The sequence below is a fragment of the Homo sapiens genome, chromosome 9 (assembly GCF_000001405.40).
Source record: "Homo sapiens chromosome 9, GRCh38.p14 Primary Assembly".
Taxonomy (NCBI): Eukaryota; Metazoa; Chordata; class Mammalia; order Primates; family Hominidae; genus Homo; species Homo sapiens.
The window spans coordinates 85,268,452-85,293,122 of NC_000009.12; the positions used below are offsets into that span (position 1 = coordinate 85,268,452).

Genomic DNA, 24,671 nt, shown 5'->3' on the forward strand with positions numbered 1-24,671 from the left:
GGATAGGTTGGATAGGGTAGGGGTAAGCAGGCACTCCCTCACTTCTATGGACAACAGATGTGGCAAATTGGCAGCTCACAGATCTTATTGGCAGCTTTGCTGTGATGCATACTGGTTTCCAAAAGCTTTTAATTAGTAACCGATATCTAAAAAATTTGGAGATTTCACAAAATTCTGGAACTGGCAAGTTTTAGTTGTACATCTGGCCAACCAAGACCTGAATACCTCCAAAGCAACACTTGTATGAGGAGGGGCTGCCCACGTTAGGTAAAGCACACTCTCCAATTCCACAAGGTCCCAGGGACCTGGCTGTTCTGGGGGCATCTATTGCTATATAACAAATCACTCCAAAAATCAACAGTTTAAAACAACTCTCTTACTTTGCTCATGATTTTGTAGTTACAATCAGATATTGGCTGGCCTGTGATCATCTGACCTTTCATCTGGGCTGGGGAGCCCACACCAGCACAGCTATGGCTGATGTTGGCTGGGGGATTAGCTGGGGCTATATATTGGAGCATGTATTTGTGGCCTCTGTAGCATGACAGCTGAGAGGGTCTTCATCTCAGACTTCTTACATGGTGGCTGGCTTCCTCCTTAAGGGCATCCTTAGAAAACCAGGAAGAACTGAGTGGTCTTTTATAATCTAGTGTCAAAATTTAAACTCTGTTGGCTGAAGCATTTATGAGCCACCCAGTTTCAAGTGGAAGGGATATAGACACCACGTCTCCATGTGAGATGTGTCAAATAATTTGAGTCTCACATACCTGACCTGCTTAATTCCTATAAATTTTTGTGTGTGGGTCTCCAGGGCCTCAATGAATATTGCAGAAATGGATTTTCCCCTTTCCCTCTCCTGCCTGTTCTCTGTTTTCTGAACATGCAAGTTGGGGGACAGTATTTACAGAGTATCACCCACATGTCATTTCATCATCTTACAGATGTTTTGCAGAGCACCAACCTTGTGCCAGGTACTTTCCATACTTTCCAGGTACTGCACATACTTTAACTTTGCAATAGTCACTTGTCGCCACATTCTTTTGTTACTGGTGGCAAACTTCCATACATTTTTTCATTTAACACTCACAATAGTGCTGTGAGGTAGGTATTATCTCCATTCTGCAGATAAGGAAATCAAGCTTGAAAAATCAAATACTAAGAGTGGGGTTGTACAGATTCAAAAGGGAAGATCCAGAACTCTAACGCAGCTTTTGCAGTGTCTAACATGACAAGGGGGATTATAATTTTTGCCTGGGTTCCTGAGCAATATCTATGAATGTATGGTTATATACCTCATTTCTGATAAGAATAAGAGACTGCCCACTTGTGCATGACTCCCCTGGGCAATGTCTCACTGGAGATACTGCAGAAGGTTCCTCACGTTGAAAGGCAAGTATTTGGGAATTCACAGGCCTTTGTCGTCAGCTATTCAACAGATCTTATACTAGGATCTCCCCAACAAAGCTAAATGATGCAGAAGCCATCATTCACAAACAGGATTATGTCTTCTGGCAGCAGTTTGGGCGTTTCGGCCTGCAGCCCCGGACTCTGGAAGGCAGACACCTACGCTTATCCATGAAGTGGGCTGGCTTCTCACACATCCACATCCGGGGTGGCTGGGAATAGACAAGAAACAAATCCAAGAAGGAGAGATGTAGGAAGGGGTGGTGAGGAGAATATGAAGTATTTGCAGCCTAAGAAAAATATGATCCTGGGCAGAAGTGTTAGGGAAGATGCACAAAATCTAAGTGGGGTCTAGGAGTGCCCCAGACCAACATTTCCAGGTTCTATACATAGATATGTCTTCACTTTGTTCTCTGGTGTGAGATTTTCAGAAACAGACCTCTGGGTCTCCTCTCTTTCCAGCTAATTCTCCTTCCTTCTATTCATACTGTTTCCTGGCATGATAGGAAGGCTACTCTGTTCCTATTAACACAAGGCATGGGTAAGGGAGTAGTAAGAATTAATATTTACTAAGACCCTACTATGTGCTAAGCATTGCCTACATGCATTCAACCTCTGCCAGTCTCCTGTGAATTGGATATTATTGTCCCAGTTTCATGGAGGCTTAGAAAAGAAGATTGCCTAAGACCACACAGCCAGGAGGCGTCTGACTGAGAATTCTAATTCAACCCGCAATGGTTTCTTTTTCCTTTCCTTTTTCTTTTTCTTTCTTTTTTTTTTTTTTTAGACCGAGTCTCACTCTGTCACCCAAGCTGGAGTGCAGTGGCGCCATCTCGGCTTACTGCAACCTCCGCCTCCAGGGTTCAAGTGATTCTCCTGCCTCAGCCTCCCGAGTCACTGGGATTACAGGCGCCTGCCACCACGGCTAATTTTTTTTTTTTTTTTTTAAGACGGAGTCTCGCTTTGTCACCCGGACTGGAGTGCAGTGGCACGATCTCGGCTCACTGCAAGCTCCACCTCCCGGATTCACACCATTCTCCTACCTCAGCCTCCCGAGTAGCTGGGACTACAGGCACCCACCACCACGCCCGGCTAATTTTTTGTATTTTTAGTAGAGATGGGGTTTCACCATGTTAGCCAGGATGGTCTCGATCTCCTGACCTCAAACCCCCGTGTTTTGAGATTTCAGGTGCTAACTTGGTGAAACCCCATCTCTACTATAAGTACAAAAAATTAGCCAGGCGTGGTGGTGGGCGCCTGTAGTCCCAGCTACTCGGGAGGCTGAGGCAGGAGAATGGCATGAATCCGGGAGGTGGACCTTGCAGTGAGCCGAGATCGCACCACTGCACTTCAGCCTGGGCAACACTGCAAGACTTCGTCTCAAAAATAAATAAATAAATAAATAAGTAAAATTCCTGCCCAATCCCACCTCCCATTTCTGGGCCCTTCTTCAGCTTCTTTTTGCCCATTTCATTTTTATATCACATCAATACATGTATACTGTATTTTTCCAAATATAATATGTATATGTAATTTTTAAAATACAGGTTTTTCAAAGTCAGCCCCACTTACCTCCATCAATCCTTGCGCTAAGCAAATATGATCACTTTTTAAAGTTTTTGGTTGCTTCTTGAGAACTATTATTAACCTTTACATCCCTCAGATTACTTGTCATGGTTCTTGGCTAATAGTAAGTGCTGAGTTGATTTTGGCTAAATGAGACTGACTTCCCGCAGACTTTCACAAGAATACATTATCTTGCCTTTGAAATTTTCTTCTTCCTTTTCTGAAACTCTCCATACCACTTTATTCTATATTTTAATTCCCTTTGGCCTTCCAAACCCCTTTTTTCCTTTGGAAATACAACAAATATCATTAAACATGAAAAGCAATAGGGGGAGGACAATATATAAAATAGTTCCACATTACAGAATAATTACTAAGAACTGAAGAATTTTTTTTTAACCAACTGCACAAACTAATAACCAAAGTTTGGAAACGTCAAGATCTATGATCAATTCCTTTCATAAAAGGTGAAGGTCATTTTTAATTAGTGAGTCGATTACTTCCATTTAATGGATGCATGAAATTCTTAAAAATTCAACTCAACAACCATTTACTGAGCACTCAGTATGTGTTCATTGTTGCCTGAAATCTAAAGATAGCTAAAATGTAGCTATGTCCTTAGAGGAGCCCGCTAACCAAAGCAGGAGATAGAGACATAAGTGAAGATACAAGGTAGTGATTATGGGGCTGGTGGAGAGAGAGGAGGACTCAGAGGACACATATAGACATCCTCAATTTCAAGGTGGAAAATGATGATTATGGTGCCACTTTCAGATTCCACCTGGCGGCAGAATTAATAGTGGCTTGTGCACCCTGAAATATAGTTACACACTTCCCCCACTTTTTTAGAAGATGTAAGGAAGGTAAACTTAAGCCTAATGTAATCACACATCCAAAAATCAGTGAATTTCAAAAGGATACCATTTTTAATTATGCATATAAATATATTCCATTAGTGCCACAACCTCCAGCAATCATTAGGAATCATTTTTTATTTTCTCTGGGGTCTCAACAGGTATTGACCATTAACTGCCATGGGAAGCCCCTTCACTATTTGTTTTCTGACTACTTGCTATCTTCAGTGCCCTAGAAGAATCTTCGACAGATTATCAGAACATTAAATATAAATACAGAACACTAAAGAAAATCTTTAAGAATTCATCTCTTGTCAAGGTTATCTTGAAGACAACCCAGGTCAAAGGCATATTGTCTGAAACCTGAGGTATAGTTGCCCGGATTTACGAAGTGAGGGGTTTTGGGGGTGGGTAGAATGTTAAGGAAGAAATCGATCAGAAATAGATTTTTGTTCTCAGAGTACCATACAAAGCATGAACTTCCCCCTAAGTCTTTGTCTTTTTAAATGTGGTATCCCATCCATTAGATGCTCATCATACAGTTATTTTGTCTTTTTATTTTAACTAGCTTAGATAGAACAATGCTGTTCTTGCAAAGCCTTACCACAGGAAAAGAATATAGGAGAAGGGGAAGATCTGAACCAAGTCACAACGAAGTAGGGAAAGTTTGTTTCTGATGTTCTTACTCCCCTTTCAAATGCCTTCCATAGCCACCTGTCTCAGGATGGCTGCCTCCAGAAGAAGATCGTAAGATAAGAATATCAGTGCAAGTAGTTTTCAATTTTAAAAAAAAAGTGATCTCAGAAAGCTCTGATAAGGGAATAGGACAATAAAAAGGGGAAAGGAAGGAAACCAATAAAGGATGTATTATCAAGTAACTTACTACTAGGACAACTGGGGTTCAACTCCAATGAGGACTCCGATAAAGAATACAAAACCTTTCTAGTTATCCCCAGCAATTATCCCCAGCAAGAAATGAGAAAGCTGGGGTATTCATCCACCAATCCCTGTCCATCATTGATTTCGAGCTGTTTCCAGAGGCATGAACTACCAATGCTTCTGACCCTCCCCATACAAAGCCAAGAGAAAGCCCTCATGTGGAGAGTTGGAGGTACCTGCAGTAGGAGGAGGTGAGTACGCACTAGAATGGCGCAGGCCAATGTTATATGGGCAGGACATCAACAGTGACTACTGCACCACCTTATCTTTTATTTACTCAGCGTTTCTTTCTTTTTTTTTCTTTTTCCTTTTTTTTTTTTTTTTTTGAGACAGAGTCTCAGTCTTGTTGCTAAGGCTGGAGTGCAATGGTGCGGTCTCGGCTAACCGCAACCTTCACCTCCTGGGTTCAACCAATTATCCTGCCTCAGCCTCCCTAGTAGCTGGGATCACAAGCATGTGCCACCATGCCTGACTAATTTTGTATTTTTAGTAGAGACGGGGTTCCTCATGCTGGTCAGGCTGGTCTCGAACTCCCAACCTCAGGTGATCCACCCACCTCAGCCTCCCAAAGTGCAGGGATTACAGACGTGAGCCACCACGCCCGGTCTTACTCAACATTTTCAAAGCCTGTTCTTTCCACGTATTTCTCTCCTTCCGTCAGCACTTTAAAGTTAGAGGTCTTTTCCTCTATAGGGGGGAAAATGGGGAAAAAGTTGAGTAAAAGGGGAGCCCTGGAGCATGTGGTGATTTTAAAAAAACTGAATAAGAATTATTTTTATGAAGTTTGGGCCACAGGGGAGAGTTATTGCAGAACTAATGGAATTTTAGGGGGAAATTCTTGTCTTGTATTTGTACGAAATAGCTCTGCTTCGATTAATAATAATGACTTGTGGGAATAATTCAGTAAGACTTGTCTCTCCTTGTCTCCTTGTATCACAAACCTATATCTGCCTACCGTCCCAGGTTAAAAAAAAAATCGGTAAGTTCATAAAACAAAACAGTTGAAGTCTTCTATTTGCAGGGCAAATTTTTATGAATAACCTTAATGTAACTGGGGAGCCTTTTGGTCCAGCTTCAGGATGGTGTCATATTAAGAGAAACATAGTTGGTTCCAATGGACAAAAAGTAATTCAAATCTTTACTCAGTCTGTTAAGCCTTTATGCCCAGAAAACCATTTTTGTAATTTTCTCTCCCAATTTCTGCCTTCTCAATCTTATTCACAGGAATGATAGCTGTTCTCCTAAACTTTCCCACTGTTTACTTCTATACATCAAAACCCTCCCAAGTCTAATTCTCATAGCTTTTCTCTGTCTCCTTGTCTCTCTCCCTTAAAAATAAAAACAAATCAACTAAGATACTTTATTATCTTCATTTTTCCATTGCACATCATCTCTTCAAGGGCTACACAGAAGCATATACTACTCTCTGGGAGCTATAATGAGATGTGTGCGTGCTGGGAGGAGGGAAGAGAGGGGGTTATATGAAGAGGAAGCTTGTGAATACTGATGCCTATATTAATTTTGTTTTTGTTTTACTTTTTATATCTATCCATCAGTCTGTATCTATCTATATCTATTGGAAAAAAAACTAAACCAAACATTTTACAGAGACCCCCGTTTCCTGTTGCTTTCTACCTTTGACCCCTTTTCTTTCTGTCTGCCAACTAACTACCTTTTCCACCTCGTGAACATTGACTAGCCAATAAACTATAAGACTTGCATAAAAAAAGTTCTTGGAAAATACTGTTCTAATGGTTACTGAGCAAGGAGCACAAAACAGGGATGACTCCCAACTGTGAGTTTCAGTTAAAGTGGCAAACTGCTGTCTAAGCCCAAACTGCAAAGATGGATACTCAACTGTCCCTCTCCTCCAAAAACTCCAACCCTGATTCAACTGGGGAGTCACCAGATCCTCAGATGCTCCCTGAATAAAGGAATCAGCTAAGTAGAGACTTTATTAATCTCTATTTGAGTCCCTTAAAATCATTTTCTTTTCAGTCTGTCTGTATGCAGACACACTGTAGATATATGAAGTATAATAAGATGTATATATACACATATAGATATGATGTGTGTGTTATGACAAATTAAGTTATAAAGCACTTTCACACTCTCTATACTTTTAAAAGAGCCAGCAATCCTATGAGGTAAGCACCAGTTTGAATTATTTTCCTCATTGTGCAAGTGAGAAAAATTAAAGCTCAGAGGAGTTAGGTGAACCGGCCCAAGTTTACACAGCTGGTTACTACATATCCAAACCTGGACCCCCAAATCCCCTGGTATTTGTTGTATTACATCATGGTATTCCATGTTCATTTTGAGACTTCCCTAGTGATTTTGCTTGCCATTCTTTATCTCTCATACCAGAGAGCACCCTAAAATCCAGAACAAGAGCAAATGATCCTGTGTCTTGGAATCAACAGTCAGACCCCTATGTTAGGCTATATGCATGTATTCATGATATGTCTATGCTTGAGTGAATGATTTATGATTGTGTATAATACTATCTCATTGTGGAGAAAACAGAAAATGCAGAAAACTGGCGAGGCGTGATGGCTCACGCCTGTAATCTTAGCACTTTGGGAGGCCGAGGCAGGTGTATCACATGAGGTCAGGAGTTCAAAACCAGCCTGGCTAACATGGTGAAACCCCATCTCTACTCAAAATACAAAAAAATTAGCTGGGTATGATGACAGATGTCTGTAATCCCAGCTACTTGGGAGACTGAGACAGGAGAATCACTTGAACCCGGAGGCGGAGGTTGAAGCGAGCCGAGATTGCACCACTGCACTCCAGCCTGGGTGACAGAGCGAGACTCTGTCTCAAAAAAAAAAAAAAAGAAAGAAAGAAAAAAGAAAATGCAGAAAATTGTACAGAAAACAAAATCACCTTTAATTTAGCCAATCAGTCATAATCACTGTTAGTAGTCAGTGTATATCTTGTGTAAACAGAGACACATGTTATAGTCTACATCAAAACAAAACATGGATAATGTAAGAAAGGGCAATAGAAGTCAATCCCACTTAAGAACAAAGATACGAAATTCTAAACAAAAGTATTAACAAGCTAAATCCCACAATTTATAAAACAATACATCATACACATCATTATTGTAATGCTCCACACTAACATTTTTTAAAGTATGATCTCACTAGATGCCAAAAAAAGCATTCAAAAATTAACATTCACTCATGAAAGAAACGGTAACATGGGAAGAGAGGGAAACATCCTTAATCTGATAAAGTGTATCTACCAAATCTTTCTGTTTTCTGTCAGAAACAAGACAAAGATAGCTGCTTTTTCCTCTTCAATATTGGCTTGGAGGCCCTAGCCAGCACAGCAGGAAAAGAGAAAAATATAAACATATACTAATTGGAAAGGAACAAACAAAACTGTCATTATTTACATTAAATTGTCTACATACAAAACTCAAAAAAAAAGCCTACAGAGAAATATATTAGAATTAGCTAGAGAATTGAGCAAAGTTTCTGGAGGTAAGTTCAATTATGAAAGAAAATTGCATTTTTATATATCAACAACAAACTATTAGAATGTCTAATTTTAAAAATTAGAATAGCAACAAACACGAGGCTCTCTTAAAGACTTGTCTTGAAGAATTTCCTAGAGAAAGTTTTCTCTAAAAACGCAAATATCCCGGGGGAAATAATAGGTCATGTGATAGAAAATAAAAGTGGTCCTTTTCCTGCTGACACCACAGGAATGAGCTTGTATATCTAACTTACGTTTAGAAGAAAAGCTGTTTTTGTTTTATTTTATTTTACTTGGCAAGACTATTGAGAAATGGAAAGCATGAGCTCTGGCTTAAAAGAGGCTGAAAATTTTGAAACTTTAGTATGGTAGAAGCTGGGGAAATGGCCATGTCAAAGCTGCAGGCTTCTTAACTGCAAGAGGTAGAGCTTTGAATGTATTTCCATTGCAGGATATTCCTTTTTCTGAAAGTAAAAGCAAATGGACCATGTTTCCATGCACATGTCAAGCAGAGGCTCCACAGAGTTGAGTGTAGTGTGTGATTGTGTGTGTTATAAGCAGCTACATCTCTACAGGCCATCTGATGTCTCTTAGGTGGTGCCATGCCTGACCCTCACTTGGTCCTGAGCATGACGCGTGCTCCATTGAAATAGATGCTCACCAGAAAATCACAAGCTTGAAAATCAGAAGCCTGCAGGAAGGACATGGAGGATGATCTGGAGGGAAGACCACAAAAAGAAACTTGGGTGGGTTTAGTAGAACTCAACCTGGAGTGAAGGGCTAATGACCCACATGTGGTTTTACTTAAGTCCAAATATCCCAGATCCAAGAGAATATTTAAAATGAAAGGAGTACACTTCTTTGCAGCACAGAGGGACAGATGCAAAGGAAATAGCATCCCACCCATTCCTGCCTTTCTTTTTGTTTCTTTTTTAAGGATGTGGCATTAGTACTTTCTGCTGTAATTGTGCTGCAGGACCACACATTTGTGGGTTTGGGTCAGCGTGTCCAAGTAAGGAAATGGATATTATTTAATTTTCAATGATCTAGGAAGAAGAGGATTCCAAGGGAGGAAATGAGGACTTAGAAAACTGACCTTAGAAGGAAGAAGAACAAATTATTTCTGGGCCTTACTATCTTTATCATGAAATCTACAAACATGTTTCAAGAATCTTCCAGCCAGTAAAAGGAAGGTGGCCTCCGACATAATGAAGCAACCAAAAGGTGAAGAAAAGAGGCCCTGAAGTTACAAGGTGAGGCTGGTCCTGACCCTGTGAGTTCTGAAAGCAACCATCCCCCTGGCTGGAGTGTGTAGTCCTTCCATCCATTCCCCAGAACAAGTCATGCTCTGGCATTTACTATGATTTTAGTGAACGCTTAGATGGACAAAGACAGGAAACTTCCTTTGGATTTTCCAAGACAAGTGGTTTTCAGAGTGCAGTTCCCAGATAAGCAATCCCCTGGGAACTTGTTAAGAGTCTCCCACCTCCCACTTACTGGACCCAGAACTCTGGAGGTGGGGCACAGGGATCTATGGTTTAAGAAGCCCTTCAGGTGATTCTAATGCACACTCAATTTGAGGGCAACTAGGCTGACAGTAAAATCTCACACAGGTGAGAGGTATCAAGTTGAATTTAAATTTAATGTGACCACATTTGAGCAGCCACTTTAGCGAGGTCTGAGTTAGAGTCATTAGTAGCGTTCACATAATATTTTCAGCTGTCTGCTCTCTAGGCATAGAGTAGGATGATATTTGTAACTCCTTTGAGGTTAAATGGGACCACAAGACTGGTTTTTGCCAATGATTCATAAAAGGAAGCATTTGATTGTCAGCACGTGACTTTATAGAGTTTTATACTAAGGTTTGAGATACAGGCTGAGCATTCCTAAACTGAAAAGTCTAAAATCCAAAATGCTCCAAAATCCAAAATTTCTTGAGCCCCAAGTGAAAAATGTCATAGTTGACCTCATGTGACAGGTCTCAGTCAAAACACAGGCACACAACAGGCAGTTTATTCAGTGTTCCCAACGGAAAAATAAAACTACCTTCAAGCTGTGTGTATAAGGTGTACACGAAACAAAAATAAATTTCATGTTTAGACTTGAGTCCCATCCTCAAGACATCTCATTATGTATATGCAAATATTCCAAAATCCATAAACACTTCTGGTTCCAAGCACTTAGGATTAGAGAGTCCTAACCTGTAGTGACTGCTCCATCAGTCTGGGTCCCAGAGCAAGAAGACCTAGAAAAGGACTTGTTCGTATAAACTACTACGATTTGGGGGTTATTTGTCACTGCAGCATAACTCAGCCCATCCTAACTCATATTACTTAAAACTATGACCACGTCTTAAATTTCTGTCAATGTTCTTATTTCAAATATTCCATACCATTTTAAACTGCAGGTTCCAGTTTTTGTTTCTGTCACATATAATTTGCTAGTTGTATCCTGTGGACACAATTTTGGCTAGGTTAGACATATGGTCTAACACGGAGCTGGGGACACTATAGGAGCTTCATAGATACTAAGTTATCCATCTACCATAATCCACATCCATTTTAAAAGATCACTCTTTCCTATTCGGGAGGCTGAGGCAGGAGAATTGCTTGAACCTGGAAGGCGGAGGTTGCAGTGAGCCGAGATCGCGCCACTGCACTCCAGTCTGGGTGACAGAGTGAGAATCTGTCTCAAAAAAAAAAAAAAAAATCATTCTCTCTTTAGAGCCCATGTTTCTGTCCATAAAATCTACCTACCACAAAAGACTCCTCATATTTTCCCCCTCAAATGGTTTCTTTCCCTCTTGATAATACTTAAATCCAACATTTGAATCTTCTTGCTTTGTTTTAATTATTAACTGTGATTAGGCACTCCAAGGGTTCTGGAGCAACCGGGCAATTGAACATGGGTAATTTTCCTGATTATTTCCCTGAGTCAACCCGGAACAAATATAAACAAACAACAGAAGTCAAATAAGGAGTATTTGTTTTCTCAGCTAGATCACTGTGGATTTACACCTCTTTCCCATTTGCACTAATGAGAATTAGATGAGTAATTCCCCCACAGAGAACACAAACCCTGAAGTCCTTTCAGTGCTATTCTAAAGTGGTAGCAAGAATGTAAAGCTATTTTAGTGCATGCAGCTAAAAATTACCAACTACCATGTAGCATACTTGAGCCTAAACATCTTTCCAGAATTAGGCTGTGAGCTCCTGGAAATGTGAGATGCATTTTATCTTATCTTTGAATCCTTAAGGTCTAGCACAGAATCTGGCATATTGACAGCCATCAGTGCATGTATTTTGTTGAATAAGTGAAGGAATGAATGAACGAAATCAAAATTTTCTTTTCAGTTATTTCACTAGAAGAAATTAAAGACCAAATTTTGGTTAATGACTCCTATAAGAGAAACATAATTATTAAATTTGTTCTACTCGAGACTAACACTTTAAGGGTTTCTGCCTTGACTCGAATCGTTAAACTCTGAAAATGTGTTTGTCTCATTCCAGGAATCCCATTCTGCCAGCCCGGTAAAGGCAAAAACCCCTATGAAACAGATAATGCACCTGTGATCAGAAGACTAACTAGGAACATATGACAATGATTGTTATATTATTTTTCAGTAAATGCTGACAATTTTAATTAAACAAATAAACCAGTGAAAAATTAGCACCTTCATCTGAAAAAGAATGGTGGTCACACGATTTCCTTAGCTCCCCAATTCACACTCAGTGGTCAAGGTGTCAACAGAATAACCATAACAAAGGTCAAAGTTCCTAGTGTTCCCTTATGGCCAGGGAGATCTCAGGGTTTTGCTCCAGGATATTTAAATATTTAATTACCTGACTCTGATTCCATAGTCCAAAGTAGACCAAAGGACTCTATTCTTGGGAGGACGCTCTAGTGAAGGAAACTCTGGAAATGAAATGAACCCTCCCTACGTCACCATCTCTTTCTTCATGTCTGTTCCTATGTGGAATACTTTTCTGGGTAGCTAAAGATATTTGGAATGGAATGAGACAACGTGCCCAATTAACTTGTCCTAAGAATCTTTCCGTCTGCCTTAATTAAAGATTTGGTTAAAATACAAGTTTCTATTTTCAAATGCAAATTAGTCATAGGTTAATTTATACATTAGTGTGAATTAGTTTCCATACCATGCAATTTTTTTTCCAGAATCCTTTGCCCACTTAGAAACAAAACAGTAAGCAACTCAGTTATACTCAGGTCTCTTTATCCTGTTTCCCATATATTATGTGAGCAATTATTTTATTAGAGAGAGTTTAACAGAGAACAAAGAGCGCGTTTATCAATGAAACCTTTTCATGTTTACCATTCTAGAATCAGGTCATAAGAGTGCAGTATTTCTTTGCATTGTCCTCTTTTGATAAGGATTATTAGTTGCAAGCAATAGATATAAACTCCGGTTAATTTGAAGCACAATATGAATATTTTATAAGAATACTGGGTAGTTCACATAATCACCAAAAGAGGGTAACAACAAGACTCACAAACTATGCAGACAGAACAACACCTTGGATCAGGTCAAAGAACCGGTGAGGTCTCCATTGCTAATGTTTTTGAGCTAGTTCCCACAGCTTGTACTACCAGCCTGCTCACAGGAGTGTCAACCGTGACCTCACTGCCACCACTTCCCTGGAAATTCAGTCTTCCTGCCTTGCCATTGCCACCAAAGTACGGTGTTTCTTGGTCTCTACTAGTTCCCATGTCAGAGTTTGTGGCACCTTCCATTGGTGAACTTGACCCTGTGCCTGCATGGTAGCAGCAAAGGAGACTAAGAAAAGCATGTAGTGTCTGGCAAGGAAGGCAAACTCTTCTTCCTAGGAAGATGCATAAAGTAAAGATAGTGACTGTTTCCTAAAAATTGTTAGAGATTGTAATATTCCCCTAAGTTTAGATTTCTGCCATGGAATATTCCCATTTTATTGAGATTGTTGATATATCAAAAATGTGTGTGCATTTATGCCCTAATTAAAATAAATGTCATAGAAACCTTCAAATAGCTTGAACTGGGGAGGCTAACTGTTATAAATTAGGACGAGGGAAAGTGGAAAAATATGATCCAATTTTTCTAATATGGAAGAAACCCCAATATGAGTTGATGAGTTGGAGACTTGAGAATCTCATTGCCTAAAGTGACATATCTATACCGTGGTTTGAGTGTCACAGAATTTCCTTTGGTATTTCATCTGGCTTATGTTATGTTGTTTCAGCAACATCTGGAGGAAACCAGAGTTAAGAAACTTCATGTGTTATATGCTGTTAATACCTGCTTCACCTAGATCTTATCATTTGAAGACAATAAACCACTGTGAGCACAGCACACTAAATCAGTAGCTGAGAAACTTGGGTGCAGTGCCTGACCTCATCACTGCATGCTAGAGTCACCATGGTGGGAAGACATAGAACATAAACTTGATATGATTTGGGTAGAGAAAAGCACATTTTAATGCCTTAATTTCCTCTCTGTTTCCTTAAATACCTCCATTTCAGAACAAGAAGTGCAGATCCGACAAGCCAAGAGTTTCAGGTAAATACCAGTACATTATTGCTGGCCTGGAGACAGTTTTTGGGTGAAGCCACGTGGAGTCATGTCAACCATAACAGAATCTCAGGATTTAAGCAGACATTTAAAGTCACCAGGACCATATGCCATGCAGGCATATCCTCTACAGCACCCATGACAGGAACCTGTCCCGACTTCTACTTGAAATTACCAGAACCCATGGCCTCCCATCTCATTGTTAAACCATGTTCATTGTTTGGAAGCTCTGCCAGCTTATAATACTTGATTCCCCTCAATGGTCCCACTTCTTCCTTGGCCCCTAAGAACCTCCAAATGACAGTCTTTCAAATATTCAAAAATATTTATGTGCCATCCAACCTTAAGTGTGTCAAACCTACATCTAGTAACTTTCTTAATACATCTTTAATACATCTAGTAACTTCCCAATCTTCTGCATTCTCACGCCCATTCAATCCTCTCCCTTGAATGTTTCCTGGTGCCCTGTGAGACCCTCCTACCTCGAGTCTTGCCTCTTCTAATCTTCAATCCACTGGTAATACATTAGCCTCAAAAATATTTCCAACATCAACATCTTTAAAAAAAAATAACACCAGATAGCTTCTTACTGCCTTCAAAAGAAAGCTCAATTTTTAATCCCCGGTAGCCCTTCGTTATGTGTTTCTTGGCTTCTTTCTCCAGGCCCATCACTCATCTTTCACACAAAATCTATCAAACTCTCAACTACTTTGAGTTCCCAAGCCATTTTTCTCTCCCACATGCACCTTAATATACAGCCTCTGCCTATAATGCCCTCTTTTCCCATCAAATGGATCCCTCCCACTCATCCTTTCAACGCCCCCCCCCAACACCATCCCCCTCACAAAGCAGAATCAGACACCCCTCTCATGGCATTCTGCTCTTAATCTATTTTATAAATATTAATGCACTACATTAAAATCATTTATTCACTTGTCTGTCTCTACCACTAAAAGGCAGTTCTGTGAAGGAGGGGATTCTACTGCATTACTCACCACCATCTCCCCAGAGCATGGTTCAGTCCCTGGCATATTGGAGGAGTACCATCACTCTATTGAGTGTTGAATCCAGCTTCTTCAACCTTCCCTCCTAGGACTTAGTCACTAGATTAGCCATAATCCTTGTTGCTTCCCCCACTGCCTCATATATCTGCAAGTTTTTCAATGTTCCATCTAAAACTGGATGCACAAACTCAGTCTTGATTCTGAAGCCAAATGAGGGCGGAAAAAACCCTAGGAAAAAATTTTAAAATTTTGTATGACTTGTGCTGCAAGTCCAGCTATTCCTCTTCCTGCTCTTCTTACTCGGAGGCTACCACTGGCTGGGTCAGGATCCCAGAATGTGGGATCCTAGAAGGTTAGTGGCTCTGCCAAACACGTATTAGAGTTTTCATGTCTTTATATGGGAATTAGTAATAACTTTGCCCATATGCTACATAACATATGCATTAAGCAAGGCTTAATAGCTATTAATAAAATATTGATGCATTTGTTTTTCTGGCCAAATATTTGAAAGTAGCTTGAACCATTTCCAGATGGTGACTTTATCTTTGTATCCTGTGATGTGAAAGTCATTGCTAAGCTATGTTCTTTAGTATGCACTCTGCAGGTTATTTTCTTCACATGTATACACAATGATTTTGTTATTCAGTGGCTGTTACAGACAGTGATCCCAGAGGAACATTTCCATCTTGACAACATTGAGGGAATTTATTTAATATATTTGAAGATTGTCCCCAAATCTTCCATTCTCAAGTTTTTACAAATTTCTAACATCACGCTCCCAAACTTGTATACTGCTGGATCATCCATTGCATTTTACGGTCCTTAGTGTTTCCAGTTATTTTTCTCATTATTCCATTTTTTATCTATCTTTATCATCATCAATAGTGAGTCTTATTTCAGTGTAATAGTCCACTTGATTTTCCTCATCTACATTTCTTCTTTGGATTTTTAGAGTTCTTGTAGATGGTTCAACCATTTTCACATATCTTAAAACTTCTAATCCTTCAAAAGGTAAATAAATGCAAAAAGTGAAGAAAAGTCTGTGAGTGAATAACAAAATACACAAAAGCATGTGCAATTCTTGTAGTTACTGTATTTTCATCATTTATAACATTTATAAGTAAACAGACATGGTAGTCACATGATCACTGGATATCTCCATATAAATTGGCAATATGACTGGTATGATCCAAGGAAATTTATGCCCAGGTGCACTTCGAGAAAATTTACCTAAGCAATTTAGATGATGGAAGGATGAATGAATGGAGAGAAAAGGAGAGAGAGACATACACACACAGACTGACTTTCCTTTTACCCACTTCATGATTTAAAATGAGCTTTAAGATGAAAGCCTTCTTCTCTTTTATGGAGCATGGAGTGATAAGTGGGGACTTGGAAGAAGCCTCTCTGAAGTCTACTACCAGCTATACAGGCCAACTTTGCAATCTTAGGGAAGTAACTTATCTCGCTGGGTCAGTGTTCATATCTTCAAAAAGCAAAAAGTTTTATGAGGTTCCACTTCTTCTACTTCCAAAAGCATATAAGTCTATGATACTAAAAATCATTCTGCAAATATCAAATCTTGTGTGTGGTATATACTTTTATTACAACTGAAGGAAAAGATATGTGGAAGAGTAGTGTTGTGGGAGAGAATGTGGAAGAGACTGCAGACAAGGAATAAAAACAACTACAACTGATTATCAAAACCTGGTTTAGTCAGAGGTCAGATGAGCAAGGCCTATGAGCCGAGAAACCAGAAAATGGGATGCATCCACCAGGACAGAAGAATCACAATGACAGGTAAGTAGAATCTCATTCTACTTATTTACATCTGAATAAGAAGAGTGGATGAAAATAGTCAACATTTGTTGGCAAAGAGTTAATACTCGTAAAGATTAGAAGAATATTTAGCACACTGTAACTGCTCAAAAAATATCAGCTATTACTATTACCATTGTACATTTTTACAATAGGTAGATTTCTAGAAATATCATGAGATGCAAACATTACCACAAATGCTTTGGATTGTTGCTAAATTTTGGGAAAGTTGGAATGTCTACCAACCCACGGGAATTTGGAAATCTCTTTTACGTCGTCAGCCTTTCCTAAGATAGGCATGTCCACAAGTGGAAAGAAGAGGTGGGATGGTTCTAAGACACGTTTCTTGCTTATCTCCAAAGCTAAGGGGTTATGCCCTGTTTGTGGGGCAAGCCTACAGGAATGCTAACTGGCTGTGTCCTGGGTGACTCTTGAAGGGAACTGAAGTGAGGACATTCTGTGATGTTCTGGAAGGTCTAGGAGATCGAGAAGTAACATGCACCAGGGGCTTCCAACAACAATCCAAAGTGGGGATGGAGAGCTGAAAGTCCGCATGAGGTGAACGGGGGTTCTGAGCTCCAGGGGGCTGGGAAAGCTCACTATTCCTGCCCAGTTTACACTCATGCGAGGTGTATTCAGGAGTACTAACTGCCAATGAAATGAGTGCTCAAAAGGAATGTGCAAGAGAGCAAGAAGGGCCATGCCTGAGCCCCTGGAATGACTTTTCCCAGGTGCACCACATTTCAAGTGAACTGGATGGTCTATGAAAAGCAGGAGCTGAGGGGCCTCTGCATGAAAGTAATGTCCATCTTATTAGGTTAAGTCATATTTCCTAAGGAAGCCTGATACTTTTTTTTTTCATGCTAAGATGGATGATTCAGTGAAGTGAATAATCCTCTTGTGCTGTGAGGATAGTTATCTGTTTTATCTGTTGATGTGAGTCTGCACCTTCATACATTGTGGGTTTTTGTTTTTAACAATGGGATATAGCTCTACCATAGTTACTGTGTAAAATGCATCCCCAAAATGTAATGTGCACCTAAATATAAGAATATTTGTAATGTTGTCACTAGCAGAAAGCTCAGTAACACAAAGGGCATTCTTAGTAGCTTCAGCTACTCAAGTAAGCCGACAAAATGTGTCTGTGTGTGTTCATAAGGGCAGACCATTACACAAAAGAACCTCACATCTCAATGGCTTAGTACAATTTCAGAAGTTTGTCTTTTGCTCATGTCTCAGTTCAAGATGAGGTTTTCCTCCAAATAATGACTCAGAAATCCAGATGGCTTCTTTCCTGTGGCTCCCCACGCTAAGATTCCGTGGCGGAGGAAATGAATACACAGAGGATCACGCACCCCATACCAACAACCTCAGGTGAGAAATGGCATGTGTTGCTGCTGTTTACATGTCTTTTTTTTTTTTTTTTTTGAGACGGAGTCTCGCTCTGTCGCCCAGGCTGGAGTGCAGTGGCGCGATCTCGGCTCACTGCAAGCTCCGCCTCCCGGGTTCACGCCATTCTCCTGCCTCAGCCTCCCGAGTAGCTGGGACTACAGGCGCCCGCTACCACGCCCGGCTAATTTTTTGTATTTTTAGTAGAGACGGGGTTTCACCGTGTTAGCCAGGATGGTCTCGATCTCCTGACCTCGTGATCCGCCCGCCTCGGCCTCCCAAAGTGCTGGGATTACAGGCGTGAGCCACCGCGCCCGGCCTACATGTCTTTAAGGGGAATTAATCACATAACCCTACCCAGATGAAATATGCATTCTCTGGCGGAGCTGCCACTTGTGGGGAAAACAGGAACATTTGGTGGTCAGATACTTACCTTTGTCACAGTTTTTCAGGAGTTAGGAATCTCTCATAGCACCTCTGCTCCATGATTGGTATATGGAGATTTGACTATCACTCAAGCACCTGTAAAAATAGACAGATAATATGAAAAAACAGGTGTAACTAGAGGATCACTCTTCATATATATATAAACTTGAGGCTGATAATTGTTTTCATGATTGCCCCTATTTTCTTGGCTTTGAACTCCTACCCCATCTAGAGAAGATATTTTGCTCTATTCTAGTTCAGTGAACTTAATCAAGACTAGTAATTTTTTAATCTAGTTATTAAAATTTTAGTCACCAATCACATTTCCAAGCCTCTTAGTTTTTAGCCTCCCATCACAATCCCCCAATTCAGCTTTCTTTTCTATGCATAATACTGTGTTGCCTCATGCTTTATCCCTCCACAGGGAGGGAGGGCAGAGACATAGCGGCACTGGCCACTTGCAGGCAACAGTATATGGTGGAGACAGGAAGCTGATAAGCTGATTTGGGGTCACTCTGTGGCTGGCTTGGCCTATGGGTGATTGTTCCTGTTAGGTTTCTGACCCTGGGATTTCATAGCTGTCCTCATGTGGCAGCACATTAACAGGTCTTTTAATCCCCAGTCTTTAAAGAATGAAAGAGAAAGAAACTTGGATGTATGCACACATCATGAGATAAATTAATATATTTCTTCTATGAAGCAAGAACAGAATGCTATAAAAAAGAAACATTCAGGCATTTTTTAAAAAGCTTCTGAAATTAAACACCAGAGCAGCGGAGAAAAATATCGCTGGAAAACTTTGAAGGTAAAATTGAGAAAACCTCGCAGAACTTAAGTAAAAAGTCAAAGATACAAAATAAGAGCAATGAATTAACAAAATTGGAGGACCAGTATTAAAGTTGCAAATATAAATGATTGGAAGTCTAGAAAGACAGAATAGAAGAAGTAGAGGGAGGAAATAGTCAATGAAATAATTCGAGAAAATTACCAGGACCTGAACAACAAATTTTTTTAAGTTAAGAGGGTGCCCTTAGTGCCCAGCACGACGTATAAAAATAAATCAACAATAAGGTACATCATTGGGAAATTATAAAAAATCAACATCAACAGGATCTTTAGAGTCCCAGAGAAGAAAGAGGAGGTCCCTTACAAAGGATTTGTAATCAGAATTGTTCAGCTTATTCAAGAGCAACACTGGGAGCTCACAGATAATTGAAGAATATCTTCAAAATGCTGAAGAAATTTATTTTCTATCTTAAAATTCTATACCCAGTCAGGCAGTCTATTACGTGAGAAGATGGAACAAAAACATTTTCAGACATTCAAGGTCTCAGAAAATTTACCTCCCATAAACCTTTTTTTCAGGGCATTATTGAAGGATGTACCTCACCTAATGTTAAGAGTAAGCCACTTGCTAAAGGAATTCGAGGACCCAGGCAATAAAAGATCCACTGCACACACCCATGCACACGCACACAGACAGACACACAGAATCTCTAGCATGATGGTTAAGGAAGATCTCAGAATGACTGACAAGCACCAAGGACGAAAGGAAGCAAGGACCTATGGAACAGGTTCAAAAAATTGTGGCCAAGGACGGTACAGGACTTCATACCCATAGCGGCCCTTCCCTATGTGAAAGGCATGGTGAAGCCAACAGAACCAGCACTTTTATTAATGACATCCAGAGCAATGATGTTATATGGCAGAAATACAATGATGAGACAATAAAGTCTATGCATCCATATTATGTGTGTGTGTGTGTGCACGTGTGTGTGTGTGTGTGTGTGTGTGTAGTGAGAGACAGAGAGTCTGGAATGATATACAAGAAAAAAAGCAAAAAGTGACATTTGTTTCGTTTGGAGAAAGGAATTTGATTCTGACAGAAAAGAGATGTGAGGAGGACCTAATTTTCATTATATGCAATTTTGTTTATGTCTAAGATTTGCTATGTGTACATATTGAGAGGTGACAGCATGCTGGCAGCCCTTGCAGCCCTCGCTTGCTCTCGGTGCCTCCTCAGCCTAGGCGCCCACTCTCGCCAAGCTTGAGGAGCCCTTCAGCCCGCTGCTGCACCGTGGGAGCCCTTCTCTGGGCTGGCCGAGGCCAGAGCCGGCTCCCTCAGCCTGCGGGGAGGTGTGCAGGGAGAGGCACGAGCGGGAACTGGGGCTGCGCAGGGCGCTTGCCGGCCAGCTAGAGTTCCGGGTGGGCATGGGCTTGGCGCCCCACACTCGGAGCGGCTGGCCAGCCCCACCAGCCCGGGGCAGTGAGGGGCTTAGCACCCGGGCCAGCAGCTGCGGAGGGTGCGCCAGGTCCCCCAGCAGTGCCGGCCCGCCAGCACTGCACTCGATTTCTTCCTGGGCCTTAGCTGCCTCCCCACGGGGCAGGGCTCGGGACCTGCAGCCCGCCATGCCTGAGCCTCTCCTCCACCCACCCGTGGGCTCCTGCATGGCCTTAGCCTCCGTGACAAGCACCACCCCTGCTCCATGGCACCTGGTCCCAACGACCTCCCAAGGGCTGAGGAGTGCTGGCGCATGCCGCGCCACTGGCAGAGTTCTACTTGCAGCCGGCGGGGGATCCACTGGGTGAAGCCAGCTGGGGTCCTGAGTCTAGTGGGGACTTGGAGAACCTTTATGTCTAGCTAAGGGATTGAAAATACACCAATCAGCACTCTGTATCTAGCGCAAGGTTTGTAAACACACCAATCAGCACCCTGTGTCTAGCTCAGGGTTTGTGGATGCACCAATCGGGGCTCTGTATCTAGCTAATCTGGTGGGGACTTGGAGAATCTTTATGTCTAGCTAAGAGATTGTGAATACACCAATTGGTACTCTGTATCTAGCTCACGGTTTGTAAATGCACCAAGCAGCACTCTGTGTCCAGCTCAGGGTTTGTAAATACACCAATCAGCACTCTGTATCCAGCTAATCTAGTGAAGACGTGCAGAACTTTTGTGTCTAGCTCAGGGATTGTAAATGCACCAATCAGCACCCTGTCAAAACAGACCAATCAGCTCTCTGTAAAACAGACCAATCGGCTCTCTGTAAAATGGACCAATCAGCAGGATGTGGGGGATGTGGGGGTGGGGGGGGTGGGGGGGGTGGGGGGGTGGGGGCGGCCAGATAAGACAATAAAAGCAGGCTGCAGGAGCCAGCAGCGGCAAACCGCTCGGCTTCCCGGCTGTGTTCTTTGGCTGTTTGCTGTAAATCTTGCTACTGCTCACTCTTGGGGTCGACACTTCCTTTATGAGCTGTAACACTCACCGTGAATGTCTGCAGCTTCACTCTTGAAGCCATGGAGACCACGAACCCACCGGAAGGAAGGAACAACTCCAGACGCGCCGCCTTAAGAGCTGTAACACTCACCGCGAAAGTCTGCAGCTTCACTCCTGAGCCAAGGAGACCACGAACCCACCAGAGGAAAGAAACTCTGAACACATCCGACCATCAGAAGGAACAAATTCCGGAGTGCTGCCTTTAAGAACTGTAACACTCAGCGCGAGCGTCCGCAGCTTCATTCTTCAAGTCAGTGAGACCAAGAACCCACCAATTCCGGACACAATATTACCTATTCATAAAAGTTATAGCATAAAATGCATTCACTTAAAATTACAAATATACACACTTTTGATCTAACAATTTAACCTCTGACAGTTACACCTTAGCTATCTGACAGGTACACCTTTGCATGTGCAAAATGATGTATGCAAAATGATATTCATTACAGCATTGACTGAGAGAGCAAAAGACTAGAAATGATCTAAATATCTATCAAATAAGTCTGGTGAAATAAGCTATGTACCCCTGCACAATGGAATATGTTGTAGCCATATAAGAAATAATGAAGAATTTCATTAAGTAGTGATAAGGAATGATCTCTGAGATATATGGCTAAGCAGAAAAGAGATGGTAGTAAAAACGGATGTATGGTACAGTATGCCAAAATGTTTGCATAAGAAAGGGGAATACTGGATATATTTGGACTTTATATACGTGCATACAATGGCTCTGGGGAGAAAAAACAAACACACAAAAAAACATTGGTTGCTTATGGTTTCTGCTTTTTCTTCATAGCATTGTCATTATGTTAAATTATTTCACACACTTGATTTGTTTGCATGCTTGTTTTCTGTTTCCTCCATTAGAATGTAGGCACCAAGGGGGCAAAGTCTAATCTGATACGTTTACATAGGTATCCCCCTACACCTTGGACAAGTGTGTGGCACATAATAGATGCTCAATAAATGGTTGTTGAATATTGTTTGACAGAAATAAATAAGCCTTTTCTCTGACCATGATGTGGCCTTTTAGGGGATGACAGCATTGTGATCACAAACCTTCAAAGGATCTTCTGTCTTCAAGGCAAAATGTTTTTAAAAAGCCAAAAAGTAGTCATAAGAAACTGCTAACAGAATAACGAGGAATGTAAAATGTCAGCCTTCACCTATTAATAATTGTTACAGCATATTACGTCTCTGACTGAATCTTCTACAAACAAGCAATTAAGGTAATCTTCATCACAGGAGGTAGTTTGAAGAAGTCAAAGCCACAACGTATTTCAAACAGCTGGGGAACAGCAGAAATACTGGAGGAAAAAGCCAACATCCTGTGAGCTGGTGTTATTGTAGAATTTAAAAATAACTGTCGAGATGGAACACAATCATTTATGAGGCACCAAATTAGATTCTTGGGTCGCTACAGTTGTTCAGAGGACAGAACGGAGATTTCTAGATGTTACCTTGGCAATGAAGTAAAGCAATTGCTTGTGGACGTTGTTAGCTTGTGAAGGTGGTCAAGATTCAAATTCGCAGGTCATCATAGAGGGGAAAATAAAACTTCCAAAGTGTTTCTAATTTGTCCTATTCTTGAATATATATTTAAAATTAGGAGATGTGTATTTTCACTAAGTTCTTCAATACGGGACTTCAAACCTGTCCTACTCTTCAAGCTCTTTTGAGTGTAAGGCTAATGCACACATATCCATACCCACTCAGGCACTAAGAAGACTACTCCTTGCCTCTGGCTTAGCCCTGATTCTGGCTGTGCCACTTTTATTCCCTTATTTGGTGTTGTGTGATGTTTCACTGGGCAGGTTTAATGGCCTTCACAAAGTATCCATCTGATCTATCCACTCAGTGATTTTTATCATTGTAAGTAAACTTTGCCCATTCTACCTACCTCGAGAAAAGATACATTGACTTGAAACTAACATGGTTTTGTGATTTCTAGCAGGCACCAGGCCCCATTTCACCAATTTTTTATTAGCCCAAGTGTAGCAGATCCTGTCAGTGTCTGGCCCATTTCCCCTGGCCATACCCTCCACAATTTTAAAGTTTAAAGCAAACACCTGCAAAAGACTCAAGCGTCTTTTGCTCTGACTGAGAGCCCACTCAGCCTGGAACATCACAGGACAGAACTGCACAGAGTTAGTGCCCCAGGAAGCAGCCCCTAACATGACTGATGGATGGATACCCTGCTTCCTCACCCCTGGTTGAGATAACCCTGAGGTGCGTTCCACTGATTTCCTAAGCTCCCCAGTGGCTCACAGGAGTAACTGGCTCCGTAACTCAGCCTTACTTGGTTACCGTCCTTTATAGGTGCTCTGACTCCCCTTCTGGAGTTTCCTGGGATTAACTTTCAAATAATCTCCTTCAACTGAGTCCTTGTCTTGGTATCTGCTTTTGAGAGAACCTGTGCTAAGACAAAACACTAGAAAATTAACAAAATATACCAATATTTCCAAATAAATAAAGCAATTTGTTCAGATCATGTTTTCTGATATTATACTTGTGTAAGAATGGTCTTTGAATAGCACCCTTCTGAAATTCAGTAATACTGTTTTCTTAAAGAAGAATGTTCCCCCTTCTTAATGGGGCTTCAAACAATACTAAATATTGTAGTTTGTCTAGAAGGGAATATTGAAATGTTTGAAAGACAACAGGAACACAAGCACAAGTGACTTGCTGGGTAAGCCAGAATAAGACTGGAAGCTGAGGGTCTCCATTTAAACACAGAACACCTGTTCACATCTTCAGAGAATGCCCAGAACACTTGGCCCATGTAATTAAATAAAAGCTGTGATCCTTGCCGCAGTAGATGTTATTGCCTAGGAGATAGAAATATAATACTCAAATACTCATACTGCAATTGATTTAAAATGGCTATGTACTCCCCATAGCAATAGCTAAAATAATAGTCAAGATTGTATATTTTAGTCACT

The 24,671-nt window shown here is 41.0% G+C and overlaps 2 long non-coding RNA genes across 2 annotated transcripts; one reads left to right on the top strand and one right to left on the bottom strand.

Annotated features, from left to right (window-relative positions):
- Positions 1 to 1,247: 1,247 nt before the first annotated feature.
- LOC105376119 (uncharacterized) lies at positions 1,248 to 21,023 on the bottom strand. Its single transcript, XR_930051.3, has 4 exons — positions 20,946 to 21,023; positions 18,460 to 18,548; positions 14,811 to 15,821; positions 1,248 to 1,616 (listed from the first exon to the last, which is right to left on the bottom strand). It is a non-coding gene; the product is annotated as an uncharacterized LOC105376119 (long non-coding RNA).
- A 914-nt stretch (positions 21,024 to 21,937) lies between these two features.
- On the top strand, positions 21,938 to 23,299 carry LOC124902322 (uncharacterized). The gene is made up of 2 exons (XR_007061891.1): positions 21,938 to 21,976; positions 22,763 to 23,299. It is a non-coding gene; the product is annotated as an uncharacterized LOC124902322 (long non-coding RNA).
- Positions 23,300 to 24,671: the final 1,372 nt, after the last annotated feature.